This window comes from Homo sapiens, chromosome 18 (assembly GCF_000001405.40).
Source record: "Homo sapiens chromosome 18, GRCh38.p14 Primary Assembly".
Classification (NCBI taxonomy): domain Eukaryota; kingdom Metazoa; phylum Chordata; class Mammalia; order Primates; family Hominidae; genus Homo; species Homo sapiens.
Genome location: NC_000018.10, coordinates 39,696,513 through 39,712,998, shown reverse-complemented (window position 1 = coordinate 39,712,998; position 16,486 = coordinate 39,696,513). Strand labels below are relative to the sequence as shown.

The window sequence follows — 16,486 nt, the reverse complement described above, 5'->3', positions numbered from 1 at the left end:
AGACCTCCTCTTTATAAAACCCTAAAAAATATATTTCACTATATTTTTGTTCTGAAATTTAAACACGATAATAGAATTGAGAAACTGGAAGGAGACTTTATCTATTGATGTGATTATTTAGCATATAAATTGCATTTATTGATGCAAAGCACCTCCCTGTAATTTTTGCAAGCTGTTTTCCTCACACAAATCCAGGTATCAGATGGTCTTTGAGCTCAGAAAACTCAAGCATGGCGATTTTAAGCCAAGCACAGTGAGTAGCCGCATACAAAGATGGAAGCAAATCTGGAAGAAATATTTGTACCTTCAGCTGCCTTGGTGGGAAAGACAACGTTATTTTCAGGTGAATTATGCCTTTCCTTTTACCTTCATTGGCCCTTACCCTACTTCTGGCACACCTTCAAGAGCCACTGTCCACTGTCAGATGTAATGACTTTGTGCCACTTCTTTCTTCCCCAGCAGAGTCAGTGGAGTGTTTTCTCCCATCTAGTTTTCTCAAGCAGGGCCAGGAGCTCTAGAAATATTGACGTCTCTCCATATTACAATATAATTCAGAAATCCAGTTTCAGGAATATGACAACATGTGGAGATTTTAATAATTAAAAAGACAAAACAGAACAGTGATGCACTGCCCTTCCTATAGGCCATTTGTATTTTCAAACAGTCGAACAACCTTTAAAATCAGATTTCAAAATCTGGGGGAAAAAAAAGGAGCCGTTTTATTGGAGCAGTGAATAATCTGCATTTATTTAAAATCATGCTTTTCCTGCAGGCACAAACTGAGCCTCAGGTGTTAGGTTAGCTATGATATTACCTTAATAGAAAGGTTAGTGACAACGCAGCCCAGTCCACGTTGCCAAGCTCCACTTCAGGCATTAGCCATGCTCTACTTGGTTGTGTTATGTTTAAACTGTCTTTTGTTTCAAAGATAGCTAGAGACAGTTTAGAGAATACAGCAATGAAAGTGACCAAATAAATGGAGATATTTTCTTTGAGGATATCATATAATCAGGCTCTTCAGTCTGTAAAAGTCAAAGCTGAATAGACTCAAAGTCTACAAGTCTATAAAACTGAAAAGAATAGAGAGAATTGAGATGGTCTTATTCATCAAATTCCAGAACAAAGGGTCCCCTTTGAAGCTTAAAAAAGGAGGATTTAGGATAAATGGAAAGAACTATTTTTTAACACAGTGGGGGATAAACTTATGGAACTCATTATCCAAATTTTGCTATTCATTAAAAATATAAATAGACTCAGACAAAGATTCATATCTGAATAAAGATCAGTAATGGGTTACTAAGGAAGGTCTGGTTTTAGTTTAATGGTAGAGAGCCTTTGCCTTATTTTCACCTATGTCGGGTTTTAAGTTCTAGCTCAGCCCTCACTGGAAAGATGACTTAACCTTCAATGTCCCAGTTTGTATTAGAGGTAATAGTACTTATGTGTCCAAATTGTTGGAATAATTAAATGAGATGAGGCACATTAACTTCATTGCAGCACCTGATGACGATGAAGGAGACAAAGGAGATAAAGGGGATGGAAGGGATAAAATGGTAGAAAAAAGGAGATGAAGAGGAAGAGGATGAGGAAATGATGAATGATGGTGGTAAAATCTTTCCAGGTTGATGTCTCGCCATTCTCAGTGGCATCTTGAACAGCACATTTCTGACATTCGCAGGAGAGTTCTACCTAGCAAATAATTATACTGTAGAGAATACAAATAGGGCACCATTTGAGAAACACAGATTTAAATCATAGGTCTGCATTGAGGAGAACTATTCTATTCATACCCTCTTAGTTATAGGTTACTAAGCTCTTTTGACAAAATTACACATACACATGCATCCACGCATATGCATACACATGTGGACAAACACACACACACACACTTAGGCTTGTTGGTCCAATGAATCATTAATTTAGTAACAGATTAAACATTTAAGTTTGTAACTTGATTTAACCAGGAAGCCCAACTAAACTAACTGAACAATTTCTGCTTTTAAATATAGGCTATCTTTCATTGTATACTAAATTCTGAAATATTTTCCCTTTGAATTGTATTTTCACTCTCCTCTATTTTTAGTATCTTCTGGAGCTCTGAAGAGCCAGACAACAATGAGTGAAAAGAAAGTAATTCCATGTAGAACACTGAAAAGCACTGTTCTGCACACTCTCAGCCTTAGATTTGTATAAAAATTTGAGTCAAGCATTTTCCTGCACCCTCTTCACTCCTTCCTGAGGATGGTCTGAAATGAAGTATACTATTTCTGATGGTTCACCAGTGATCATTCTTTGCTTTCCATGCTTGAGACAGCTTTTTTACCCTTCTTCTTTAATTTTATAATTTCTGATTTTGTTATTTGCTCACATACCATATGGCTCTTCTTTTCTGAAAATATGTGTTTCTCCCTTTTACCCACTGTAAAGCCAACTACACCTCCACAATTCTTCCTCAACAATCAAAAAGACTCACATGAAAAGGCCACCCCTTCGTACACACACACACACACACACACACACACACACACACACACACATCTTCCTCTCTTGTCCTCTGGAAAACACATCTCTAACTCGCGTTGTGGTGCCTTCACACTTCAGGCTGAGGTCCTGACACTCAATCTGCATAGCTCTTATCTGTCCTACACAGGAGGAGGCAATGGGGTCTGGGGGGCAATGGAGAGAATATTTGTTGCAGTTCAAAGCAAGCCATCTTTTTTTTCCTTCTCTCTTTTTTTGCCCTTTCAAGATAAATAGAAGTAGAAAGTACAAGCAGTTTTGATTAGCATTTAAAATGTTGTCAATTTTTAATGAAAGCGTAACCTCCAGCCATCAACTTCACACAAACTGGAGACAAGGTTGCAAAACGAATGCTAATATATTTGGCACACTTTCTCACACTTGTCCTTCTGTGAACTTTTCTTGTTGCTAATTTGTTATGTCAGCCCATGTTAGTAGGTTTCAAAAGTCCAAACTGGCAAGTGTGGTGACCCAAAGAGAACCAGCCTTTGGAAGATCTTTAAATTGAAACATAGGAGATGGGCAGTTTATTAGCTGTACCTATAGTCCTATAAATGTGACTATGTTAACTTGGAGGAGGTGCCAAGTTTCAGGAGTAATCTTCAGAGTCTTTCAAAATCCACTTCGTAATGTGACATTTTTATTTAGGAAATAAATGGTTGCCGGTCAGTTAACAACATTCATTGCCTGCAAATAATATATTTACCTATCTTGTGTTGATAAAGCCCAAAATTCCAACATGATTGCATGATACAGTGATTTCCCTCAATGAACTTACATTTTTAATAGCAAAACAAGGAAACATACATGAAAAGGATACAAAAACACTTGGAAAATACATACATAATTAGGAGAAGATCAAGAGTGAACTGGGAAGGGAAATTGATAATGATGTTGTTAGGGACCGTATACAACTGAATGTAGATTGCAGTGTCTTTCTCAGAACAACCAGCTATAACATGAGAGAATTCAGGACAGTCTGCTCTCTTACTGATAAATTTACTTGGAAGTAGCCAGGTAGCAAAATAGGTATATCAGGTTATCTCTGATAGTAGCACGTATTAGTCCATTTTCACACTGCTATAAAGAAATACCCGAGATGGGGTAATTTATAAAGGAAATAAGTTTAATTGACTTACAGTTGCACATGCCTGGGGAGGCCTCAGGAAACTTACAATGATGGCCATATGGGAAGTAGGCACATCCTACTTGGCAGCAGGAGAGAGAAGAAGGCAAAAGGGGAAGAATGCCTTATAAAACCTTCAGATCTTGTGAGAACACACTCACTCTCATGAGAGCAGCATGGGGGAAACCACTCCCATGATCCAAACACCCCTCTCCCTCAACATGTGGGAATTACAATTTGAGATGAGATTTGGGTGGCGACCCGGAGCCAAACCATATCATAGCACAAAATAGAGAGGGAAAACAATGAGTCATATTATACAAAAAAAGAGAAACATTTGATTATTGAGAGCTTTGCTTAAATCTTATTTAAAAGTGAAGAAAGGGAAAATAAACATACTCTTAACATATGGTCCTTCAGTCATGCTCCTAAAGGTGTTGGAAACATGTTCACGTGAAAACTTGTACACAAATATTTATAGCATCTTTATTCATAATTTCCCAAACTTGGAAGCAATCAAATGCCCTTCAGCAGGTGAATAAATATATAAGCTGTGGCATATCCAGACAGTAGAATATTATTCAGCTCTAAAAAGAAATGAGCTATGAAGCATGAAAAAACATGGAGGAAACCTAAATGCATATTACTAAGTAAAGAAGCCAAACTCCAAAGGATACATATTATGTGATTCTAATATGACATTCTGGAAAAGGTGCAACTGTGGAGTCACTAAAAAGATCAGTTGTTGCCAGGGGTTAACGGGGAGTGAGGGATGATCAGGCAGAGCACAGAAGATGTTTAGGGCCATAAAATACTCTGTATTATAATATAATGGTAGAAATATGTCATTATACAAAATATATCAAGAGTGAACACTAACATGTAAACAATGGACTTTGGCATACTTTCTCACACTTGTCTTTCTGTGAACTTTTCTTGTTGCTAATGTGTTATGTCAGCCCATATAAGTGATAGGGATGGGGGCAGGGAAGTGCTGGAAAGGGAAGGGCGTAGTCCGTGGCTAGGGCTCTATCTTGGGCCTTTGCCTACGGAGCTAGGTGAGGACAGGCATTTCTGTTTTCATGGCCAAATCCACCCTGACCTGCCTTGCCGTCATCCTGTGCCTGTAAAAACCCCAAGACCCTAGTGGGCAGAGACACAAGTGGCTGGACTTAGAGAGAAACACACCAGCCCAAGAAGACACAAGTGACTGGATGTCGAGAGGAACGCACCAATGTAAGAGCACACTGACAGGTGCCTGCAGGCCGGCAGGCCATCAGTTGGCAAAATGATGTGGAGTTTGGCCAGGGCAGTCGGAGGAGAACCCGGCTGCTGAGTAGCCCCACTCCAGAAGAAAACCACCTTCCTCTTCCATCTCCCTTCTGGCTCCTCCATCTGCTGAGACTGCCTGCACTCAATAAAACCTTGCATTCACTCTTCAAGTCCATGTGTGATCCAATTCTTCTGGTACACCAAGGCAAGAAACCCCGGCATACAGAAAGCCTTCTGTCCTTGCAATAAGGCAGAGGGTCTAACTGAGCTGACTAACACAAGCCACCTATAGTTGGCTAAACTGAAAGAGCATACTGTAACACACGTCCACTGGGTTTCAGCTGTCAACATTCACCCCAGACACTGCTGTGGGGTTGGAGCCCCACAACCTGCCAGTCTTCATGCTCCCCCTAGAAATTTGAGCAGTGGGACACCAAAGAAATGAGCCGCATCCCCATCGCATGCCCTGTGAGGAGTATAAGGGGACTTTTCCCATTTCATCAGTAGATTTCAAAAATCCAAACAGGCAAGTATGGTAACCCAAAGAGAATCAGTCTTTGGATGATCTTTACATTGAAACACAGGAGATGGGCAGTTTATTAGCTGTACCTGTAGTCCGATAGGTCCTATATGTACCTACAGGACTTTAGTCTCCTTGGGAGATTATGATGTATCAATGTTGCTTCATCAATTGTAACAAATAGACCATTCTGGCAGGGGACACTGATAATAAGAGAGGCTATGCATATTGGGGTGGGCAGGGGTATATAGGAAATTTCTGTACCTTCCAGTTAATTGTGCTGTGAACTTAAAACTTCTATATAAAACAGTGAAGTCTTTAAACAAACAAAAAAAAGTGAAAAAAGTATGTCAAATTATTTTCTACTGCAGGAGTATTTAAAAATACATATATTGGCTAGGCACAGTGGCTACCATCTGTAATCCCATCATTTTAGGAGGCCAAAGCAGGCAGATGACTTGAGGCCAGGAGTTCTAGTCCAGTCTGGCCAACATGGTGAAACCCCGCCTCTACTAAAAATACAAAAAAATTAGCCAAGCGTGATGGTGCACACCTGTAATCCCAGCTACTCGGGAGGCTGAAGCACAAGAATCCTTTGAGCTGAGAGGTTGCAGTGAGCTGAGATTGCACCACTGCACTCCAGCCTGGGGGACAGGGCAAGACGCCGTCTCAACAAATCATAATAATAAAAAATAAAAATATGTATATTATTTAGGTTAACCCGGGTTTACTGTTCTCTCTCCTTTCTCTCTGCTTCTTTCTCTTTCTTGTTTTTATTCACTGATATTTTCTACAAACCAGAATGCTGTTTTAGGGTCCATTTGCAGCAGACAGTATATGAGTTATGTAACTTGGGTAGATTTAGTCAGAAAGGCCTTAAATGCAAGATGTTATTTATTCCAGTGCTTTTAAAAAACTTCAAATTTTATATATGTGTGTATATATATATATATATATATATATATATATATATATATATATTTATCTATATAAACACTTTGTTTTGACACAGGGTTTCACTGTGTCACTCAGGCTAGAGTGCAGTGGTGCAATCATAGCTCACTATAGCCTCCAACTCCTGGGAAGAAGCGATCCTTCTGCCTCAGCCTCACAATTATTCTAGTACTATTATGAGGAAGTTCACATTCTCAGTTTTTACTGGGAATGGAGCTTGAGGAATATTATTTTCTTCAGGTGTGTGGCATGATACTTTATCTTGTTGATCTATGTGGACCTATGGATATTAGTTCATCAAATGTAGTAAGCACTTATTTGCTGTGTGCTTATGGATTTCAACAAGAATATGTGATTTTTTCTGGACAAATATACACAAATTCACTCTCTTAGGGCCTATTCTTTTCAAATTCTTTTACCATCTTTTGAGAACTGTTTAATACTCTAGAGAAGGCTTTTCCATTGTTGTCATAGGAGAGTTTTCTATTAGTGACTAATCTTAAAAATAAAACATCTTGTCAAAAATAGAATTTAATGAGCTAGCTCTTCATTTTATTATAAACTGAAATATGCAAAGCAATAAAAAGAAAATCAAAGATTGAGTCTTTTAATATTGTAATGTGCCCCAGCACACTTTAAAAATAATAGTCTCTTAAAAGTATACAGTCATAAAAGTAATATAGATAAGCTTACAATAAAAATAAGCATATTTATATTGTCATTTTCAGGCTTTTGTGTTTAACTCTAAAGTGTTAATGTATTAAGTGTCTAAGTTAATTTAGGCAGAAACACGCACATACACACTCACATACATACACACATCTTTATTAAAAATAGGAATTGCACACAAAGATAAGATGGAAGAATTAAAACTAAAGGTCATGAAATTTGATCATCTCCATATTTAAGGTTACTCTAAGTACTCTGCAAATAACAAGGTGCTTTAATGCCGCGCCTGCACTTTCGTCTCATTTAATGTGAAACCTGTGAAAGATTGTTCCTGAAGTCATTATCTTCAACTGTTGAGAGCATAGATCATGACTAAGTGACTGAAGTGCCATGGGAACTCTCAATGGGATCCTGCTCAGCATCTGATATATGTCTCTTGGTATCCATCAAACTCAGTTGATATGCAAAAGATAAGAAAGACAGAACTTTAATTTTTGTGTGTGTGAAGTTTCCTTCCTGCTTTTGAAATGCAGGCCCAAGATAAGTTAGTTGAGAAACTGATGCCCAAGAAAATTAAAAGTCAATTTTAAAAAGTCATGTGAGAGAATTTTTAAACATTCCTATGAGAAAATGTTTTCTGGCTCATTCAAAAGAATACATATTGCAAACATTTGAAATAGTAAAGGTTTTGTGAATCATACCTTACTTATTTCCACTTTCTAGGCACTTTTCTGGTTAATCTATGTAACAAATATGTTCTGAATATCTAATACTTATAAGTGTATATAGAGGAATTTGCCATAAAATAATTTTACTTTAAGAAAAGAGGTAGCTGGCTTGAGTGATCGGGGAAAGCACTTGATATGAACTTTAGAGAGAAGAATGTCTGAGAAGTGATTTCAAGGTTAAAGAATCACATCAGTAAATCCACAAAGGGGAGTCTACAGGATTGCTTGTAATAAGTAGAGATTATTAATAGCAGAAAATAGTGTGCATCTGAAAAAGTAGGGGTGACTACTTTAGTTGGATGAAGGCTTAAAAATTTGGGACTTGGGGCATTGAGAAACCATTGAAGGTTTTGAGGAAGAAAATGACACTAGTCAAAGTAATTGGAAAGGACAACTCTTCCAGAAGCATATACATGATAAGGTGGAACAGGGAGAGACTAGGGGCAGAGAAATTCATTAAGAGGTTGTTAAAATAATGTGAGGCACAGTACAATAGGGATTTTAACTGTGGCAGCCATTGGAAAGACACCAGGGAGAGCATAATTTACATCAAAGGAAGATTCTCTAGACTCTAACTGAGAAAAGTTATGGGGAAAAGGGAAATGTCTGAGTCAATATTATCCAAGGCTCAAAAATAGGTAACAATGAAAATGAGAGATACTTTTCTGTCTCTGTGAGGGAAAGAGGAAAAATTCTTTGATTTAAATTTCAAGTGTTTTCAGTTTGCTTTGTTCATATCATCTGAGGGTAACAGTACAACAGCTACTTGTAAAGTCAGGGTTGGGTATTAGATCAACAATCTCCCCTGGATATTCACAATAGAAGTCCTCTGAATAAAGAAGGCAATCAGAGAGAGAAGATATTACCACAAAGAGCATAAGCAAAAGATCAGAGAAAGCAGGGCATAATAGACTGAATAATGACCCCCAAAGATATCCATATATTCATGCTTTGAACCAGTGGTTGGTACCTTCTAGGCCAAAAGAGACTTTTCAGGCTGGGTGTGGTGGCTCATACCTAAAACCCCAGCACTTTGGGAGGCTGAGGCAGGCAGATCACTTGAGGTCAGGAGCTTGAGACCAGCCTGGCCAATGTGGTGAAACCCTGTCTGTACTAAAAGTATAAAAACTAGCCAGGAATGGTGGCACCTGTAATCCTGGCTATTCTGGAGGCTGAGGCAAGAGAATCGCTTGAACCCAGAAGGTGGAGGCTTCAGTGAGCCTAGATTGCACCACTGCACTCTAGCCTGGGTGACACAGTGAGACTCTATCTCAAAAAAAAAAAAAAAAGAGAGAGAGAGAGAGAGAGACTTTTCAGATTTAAGTAAATTCAGGACCTGGGAAAGGGAAGATTATCCTAGACTATTCTGGTGGGCTGTAAATGTAATCACACGTGTCCTTATGGAAGGAGGCAGAAGGAGATTGACTACAGATGAAGAAAAGGCTATGTGATGATGGAAGCAAAGATTAGAGTGATACAGCCACAACTCAGGGAATGCTGGAAGCCTTTAGAATATGGAAGAGTCAAAGAACAGATTCTCACCTAGAGCCTTCACAAAGAACCAACCCTGCTGACACCTTGAATTTAGCCCAGAAATAACTGATTTCAGACTTCTGGCCTCCAGAACTATAAGAGAATAAATTCTTACTGTTTTAAACCATTAAGTTTCTGGTATTTTAAAAAAATTATTATTATTTTTTGCAGCAGCAAGAGGAACCTAGTACAAAGTGGTTACATAAAACACATGAAAGAGCCAGGCATGATGGCAAGCATCTGTAATCCCAGCTACTAGGAAGGCTAGGTGGGGAGGATCACTTGAGCCTGGGAGTTTGAGATAAGCCGGGGCAACATACAATATAACAAGACCCCTATATTTGTCCATTGTCACACTGCTATAAAGAACTACCTTAGACTGTGTAATTTATGCAGAAAAGAGGTTTAATTGACTCACAGTTCCATAGGTTGTACAGGAGGCATGGCTGGGGAAGCCTCAGGAAACTTACAATCATTGTGGAAGGTGAAGGGGAAGCAAGCACATCTTCACGTGGCGAGAGGAGGGAGAGTGAAGGGGGAAGTGCTGCACTTTTAAACAACCAGATCTCCTGAGAGCTCCATCACAAGAACAGCAAAAGGGAAGTCTGCCCCATGATTCAATCACCTCCTACTAGGCCCTCTTTCAACATGTGGTGATTACAATTCAACATGAGATTTGGGTGGAGACACTGAGTCAAACTATATCGACCCTATTGCAAACAAACAAAAACCTTGCAGTTTAAATATGTATTTATATGCTTATATATTTATATATTTTAATATATAATATATATTTCAATATAGAATATATATTTCACATTTATATTCTAGGAGGGGGAGGAGCATGTGTGTGTGTGTGAGTGTATGCACACATACAGTAGAAGTGGGAGGAGAGGGATGAGACTGAGAAAAAAGAGTAAGAGGTGAAACAAGAGTGTTCAATGAGTCATAGAAATAAAGACAGGAGAGAATTTCTAAAGAATATACAGTTTTGAAAATTCTGTATATTCAAGATTTGAAATTTCTGAAAAGACAGAAATTCTTCACCTCTCAGGTAGGAAGTTTGGGATGCAGCAAGGTGGAGGGAGTCAAGTGCAAGAATTTTAAACTGAGTTGGGTTCTTCCTCAGGTCCATAGAGAAATTAGGTTTCCGGTGTCCCAAGACCAACTGTCTTCTGCTTTCTGGTGTTCAGGAGAAAATAATTTTCAATGTATCTTATTGGACTTTAAGCCTTTTATAGACACATCTGGAGGCAGCACAAATATGGTGGGGATCTTGCTGGGAAGATTTTCATATGAGCTCCAGTAAGCTGGTGAGCTGGGTAGGCTGAATTTCTGTGGTAAACTGTTAGTTTCTGAGTGATTTTGTTTGGAGTTCCAGGAAGGTGGAGTACAAACATTTTTATACCTAACTGCATAATTCCTTTACAAACCTTTATGTTTCAGAAAATAATAGTTTAGATGCAGACATAGAAACATATACATTTTATTCAGTAATTATAGGACAATAAATAAATTACGTAAACTCAGCTATATAGATCTCTGTATGAGGTTGTCCTGGCTTCCTACCTAATCTGATCGTGAGACTGAGGAAGGTTGATATCCACAATGAGTCTATCAGTTCTTGATGAATCACAGTGTTTGTTTATGGTTAATCATTGCTGATAGTAACAGCTGACAGGAAGACCTGAGGAGGGAAAGGGGAAAAAAATCTAAAGCAACTCAATCCTATTTAACAAAGGAGAAAAAAATCCCTTTTTTTAAACAATTTTTTTTGCATACAGATAGAGTGAACTGAAGGATATTCTGCATATTTTTATAAAGCATATGAAATTACAGAGGATGCATTTATTTCCCTTTGAATACAAATCCTGAAAATGTTTCCTGATAAGTCTTTTTAATTTAAGATACCAGAATGAATTATCCTTTTACTTTTTAGCATGAGAATTGTTTGTCCTAGCATTTGCAAGAAGTGGGAGATTCTATCTCATAGTCCAAAACTGGTTTTAATTGGGTAGAAGGTAGATGTGAGAAGGCCATTATGTCATTAATGGTCTTAGTCATTGAGGGTGAGCAAGAACAAGATTTTTAGGTGGTGTGTGCTTCCCTCAACATACCATCCCTTGGCCAATGATGCATGTGCCGAGCTCTGGTGGATAAATGATTGGATTTTACTGCATGGGAAACCCTCCACTTCTGTATATTTGACAAGGAAATGGTTTCTTCACTCAAACCAAGCAGAGCAAAGCAACGTTACATCACCAACCTGAACACAGAAATATTTTCTTCTCCATAAATGTCTTTAAGGAACTATGGATTCCTCAGCAAACCAGTTCTGATAGGTTACAGCTGAGGATGTTTTCAAAGGAATGCATTTGTATTGATGCACTAGCTTTGGTGTAACCATAGCAACAACAAGCTTCTCCTCTAGAGTCTTAATTTGGGAGAGAGCAGGGAAAATAGCGTGTGACCTGGGAGACACTCTGATTTCAAGCTGGGCAGAGAAGAGGAAGCCATGGCTCTTGCAATTTGTCCTTTTCATACCTCACGTTACAGAGATAGACCCTGAGCAGCTTTGGAGTTTTTCTCCTTGTTTTTGTCATTCATTAGTGCTCCCAACAACAGACTGAGTTCTAAGCAGTGTTTGAAAAGTAGTGGGTAATATTTCGATGCCCCCACTCTGCTACGTCGCTTCTACATAGACTTAAAGCTGTTAAAATTTAGAATTAAACCTCAGGCCAAGGCCCAAGGGCCAAGGTCCCTGATGCAGTTGATCCACACAATTTCTTATTTCTTCACATCCTCTACCTCTGCACTGCCCTTCTCTCCCATACAAATACATTCCAGTCTCCTTTGTGACAAGCTGACATAGATCCTGATTCCAGGAACCTTGAGCACTTGTAAATTACCTCAGTCATTAATTCCTCAACACTCAGCTATATGATTGGTTTTAGTACCATTCCACACTTTCCTAGTTCCACCCTATTTTCTAGAACCCCACCCCCAGCCCATGAATGGAGCATGGCCCTCTCCTGCCCTGGTGGTTCCCCACCACCCCCACTGTGAGATGTCTGGTCAAGCAAGAATGCAACTAGATGATGACAGTCTTCCTGTTTCCTGAATATCAGGTATTGTCTGGATATGTTGTGTGTGGAGTGTGTCTCTTGGAATAAGGTCTAAGAGTTTTTCCTGCTATCGGCATTGTGGGTACAGTTGTCTTTGTCTGGAAGCTAAGTTAGGCCGGGGCCTGGGGATTGGGCTTCTTGCACTGAGGTAGGAGGCCATTGTAAGTCTGTCTTTTGCCTATGCTGCACCTCCTCTGTCCTCACAGTAGCTTTCCTCTGCAACATGTGCTTTGGGGAAGCAAAGAAGAATGATGGATGGTTGCTTGGGTCAGGAATATCCTAGGTGGAAGAAAAAGGTTGCTCACTTCATTTTACCAGTATCACAGTAACATAATACAATAGCCTTGTTTGAGAGTTGCTGGCTGGGGATGGAGAAAGGAAGATGCTACTGTCAATGTGAGCCTTGGGAAGCAGGACTAGAACCAGTGCTCAATCTGACAGTGGATGCAGAGGATGACAGAGACATCACTGGGCTAGCCTTTCCATTATCCTCCTCTTCCACCCCAGCAAAGGCTTTTCCCCTTTAGGAGCAGGGATAGGTGGCTATGCACCACTTAATTGCTCTACATGCAAATAATTTCTGTGTACTCAGTGAAATATATCTGTACCATATCAATGTGCAGATTTATTTCTATCATTTTATCTAAAGTGCAACATTTCCAAGAGCTGATTATAAGCATGTGAAAGAAGGCTTAGTTGCTATTTTTTCAAACTCCAATCAATTCACAGGGATGATTAGATTCAACTATTGAGGGAAGAGTTGACGTAATCTACCCAAACGTGTTCCTGAGTCATCGCTGAAAATGTGTGTATCCACGGACTGATGTATCCCGCCTTGTTGTTTCTTTCCCTTTTAATTAGCAATCTTCTTCTCTTGTTTTTTTTTTTTTTCTTTTTCCCTCCCCATCCATTTAAGATTTCTATCATGGAAAATATCCCTGCAAGCAGTAACCACTATTTGAATGGTGAAATCAGCAGCACAGCAAACATGGTTCTTAATGAGGTGAGACCTGTTGCCTCCTTAGTCTTATAAGAAATATTTATGCACATACATATTTTAAATGTTAGGAAAGACTGTGTGTAAAAGGCATATTGACTCCACCTTTTACAGATTGGAAAGATTGGTGCAATTCTGTTCCAACATATTACTTTTTCAAAGGATCATTTTATAGCCATTTTCTTTTTCTATTACTTCATTATTCTTGCTTCTTTATTTAGACTCTTTGCCATGCAAATATTATTTAAGCCTTGCTCAGCTAATGTAGTGATTTTTAAATGTTTTAATGTTCCATTTGACATTCCCGCTGGTCCCATTTCTTGTGCTGAAAATGTATTAATTCCCATATCAATATATATGTATATACATTTTTTGCCCATCAGAGGTACAAAAAGATATTTTCTGTGCATACATTAGAGAAGTTATTACAGGTAGATGATAGAAGAAGAGAGAGAAAGCAGGGAGATAAAAAGGCAAATAAGAAATTGAGAAAAATATAAACCAAAAGCAAATGAAAGTTAGAATTTCAAAATATGGAAAAAGCAAGAAAGGTGGAAGAAATTCTCAAGGTAAAAGAAATATATGGGGAAAAAAGTGAAGCAAATTTAGTGACAGAAAAAAATAAACAGCCAAATAAAATCGTAACCAAATAAATCATCCGAGTAAAGAGGAAAAGAAACAGATTATGGACTGACAGCAAATCATAAATGAAAACAGCGAAGAAAGCGTACTGCTAGTGCTGGGTCATTTCAATTTAACTGAAAAGCTCTATTTCCTATATTGTCAGCCATATTTTTTCCTAATTTTACCAAAAATATTATCTTCCAAGTATTATTCTTATTAATGTTCTCTTCATTTCTGTAGGAGGCATAAAAATAACAGATGAGTGTGGGAACATAAGCTGTGTGGTTAGTGAGGCAGGGGTGATAATTAGAACATGCTGTACTATGCAGTAAACAAAGCTATTATGAACGAGAGGGTTCTTTATAGAGTGTTTAAAAAGAGGATGGAAATAATATACTTTTCCTTGACTGGCTTAACAGCTCAGCTGGTTACTACCCTGAGAAATCAAAAAAACGGTTGGAGTTAATCGGCCACTGGATTTGGACTCTAGTTAAATGCATCCACAAATATTATTGATATATGTCTTATGCCATATAAAACTTTTTCTTTTCATGATTCCTTTCCTGTCCAAAGCTTTTAGTTTTTGAACTAAATCTCAACAATTTCTACTCAATAAACCTTCATAATTTTTGAGCCCATTATTTAAGCTTGTTTTTTTAGTAATTTTTGATAATTGTGATTTGGAGTTCTCAGAATGTGCAATACTATTTGTAATTTCTGATCTTACCTCGAATCTCCTAGTTCTGTTTCCATTTATCTAGGTCAAATAAGTCTCTGATTTGGAAACTATACCTAGTCTTTACTAACTATATTAGTCAGGGTTCTCCAGAGAGACAGAACTAATAGGAGATAGGTAGGTAGGTAGGTAGGTAGGTAGATGAAGAGGATTTATTAGAGAAACTTGCTCACTTGATTAAGTGGAGGCTGAGAAATCCCATGATTGGCCGTCAGCAAGATGGAGAACGAGGGAAGCTGGTAGCATGGCTGAGTTCAAGTCCAGAAGTTTCAGAACCAGTGAAGTAGATGATGTAACTCTCAGTCCAAGCGTGAAGGCCTGAGAAGCTAGGGGTCCACTGGTGCAGTTCCTAGAGTCCGAGGGCCAAAGGAACTAGAACCAAGAGAAGGAGAAGGGGGGTTCCAGGTCCAGAATAAAGAAAGAGCAGATTTGCCATTCCTCTGCCTTTCTTTCTTTCTTTTTTTTTTTTAATTTTTGAGATGGAATTTCACTCTTGTTGCCCAGGCTGGAGTGCAATGGCGCAATCTCAGCTCACTGCAACCTCCACCTCCCAGGTTGAAGGGATTCTCCTGCCTCAGCCTCCCGAGTAGCTGGGATTACAGGCATGTGCCACCATGCCCAGCTAATTTTGTATGTTTAGTAGAGACGGGATTTCTCCATGTTAGTCCTGACCTCAAGTGATCCACCCACCTCAGCCTCCTCTGCCTTTTTTTCTATCCAGACCGTCTAGATAGACTGGATAGTGCTCACCCACTTTGGAGGAGGGTAGATCTTCCTTACTCGGTTCACTAATTCAAATGCCCATCTCATCTGGAAACACCCTCACAGACATACCTTGAAATAATGCTATATCAGCTACCTGGGTATCTCTTAGTTCACTCAAGTTGACACCTAACATTAACTATCACACTAAGTAATTCTAATATGATTATATGACTATATTTGGAAAGGTTTTTTCAAAGCTACATCAAATTTATAAAATACTACAAAATGCTTTTCCTTTCTTCAGAATACCCCATAAACCATGGTTATATTAAAAAAAAAACTTGCATTATATTTTTTGCCATCTCATCTAGGTCCATGCTCCCCATTTTTTTCGGATGCAAGTTCTCTTAGTTACTATAAAATACTGTAGTAGTGTTTGACCCCAAACAAATAGAAGAGAATAATTATTCACTAAACTAAATGATATAATTTGAATATGTCCCTCAAAATTCACATGTTGGAAACTTAATTGCCATTATAATAGTATTAAGAGGTGACATTTTTAAAAGGTGATTAGCTCATGAGGACTCTGCCCTTATCAGTGAATTAATGCTGTTATTGTAAGAGGGATTCCTTGTCATGGGAGTGGGATCCAGAAAAAAGGGTGGAGTTCTGCCCAATTTTCTCTCTCTATTTCACATGCCCACTTGCCGTTCTGCCATGGGATAATTCAGTACAAAAGCCCTTGCCAGATGCTGGCACCACACTCTTGTACTTCCCAGCCTCCAGAACTGTGAAAAATAAACTCTTTTATTTATATATTAACCAGTCTGTGGTATTCTGTTGTAGCAGAAAATGGACTAAAACACTAACAAACCCCAATAATCCAAAATTGTGCATAGTGCTCATTTTGTCAAATTTCTTTCCTTGGTAAGCATTGCTTAATCACTTATTTGGTTTAATCACCATGGTCTGGA

The 16,486-nt window shown here is 38.5% G+C and overlaps 1 long non-coding RNA gene across 1 annotated transcript in view, besides 1 other annotated feature; it reads left to right on the top strand.

Moving 5' to 3' along the window:
* Positions 1-16,486, top strand: part of MIR924HG (MIR924 host gene) — a 545,072-nt gene that overhangs the window by 38,997 nt on the left and 489,589 nt on the right. The window lies entirely within an intron of this gene.
* Positions 12,565-13,066: an enhancer, noted in NCBI's record as "H3K27ac hESC enhancer chr18:37279897-37280398 (GRCh37/hg19 assembly coordinates)". NCBI's record gives its function as "activates a minimal SCP1, AML or CMV promoter by ChIP-STARR-seq in naive H9 embryonic stem cells {active_cell/tissue: H9 hESC(naive)}" and the evidence as "EXISTENCE:reporter gene assay evidence [ECO:0000049][PMID:30033119]".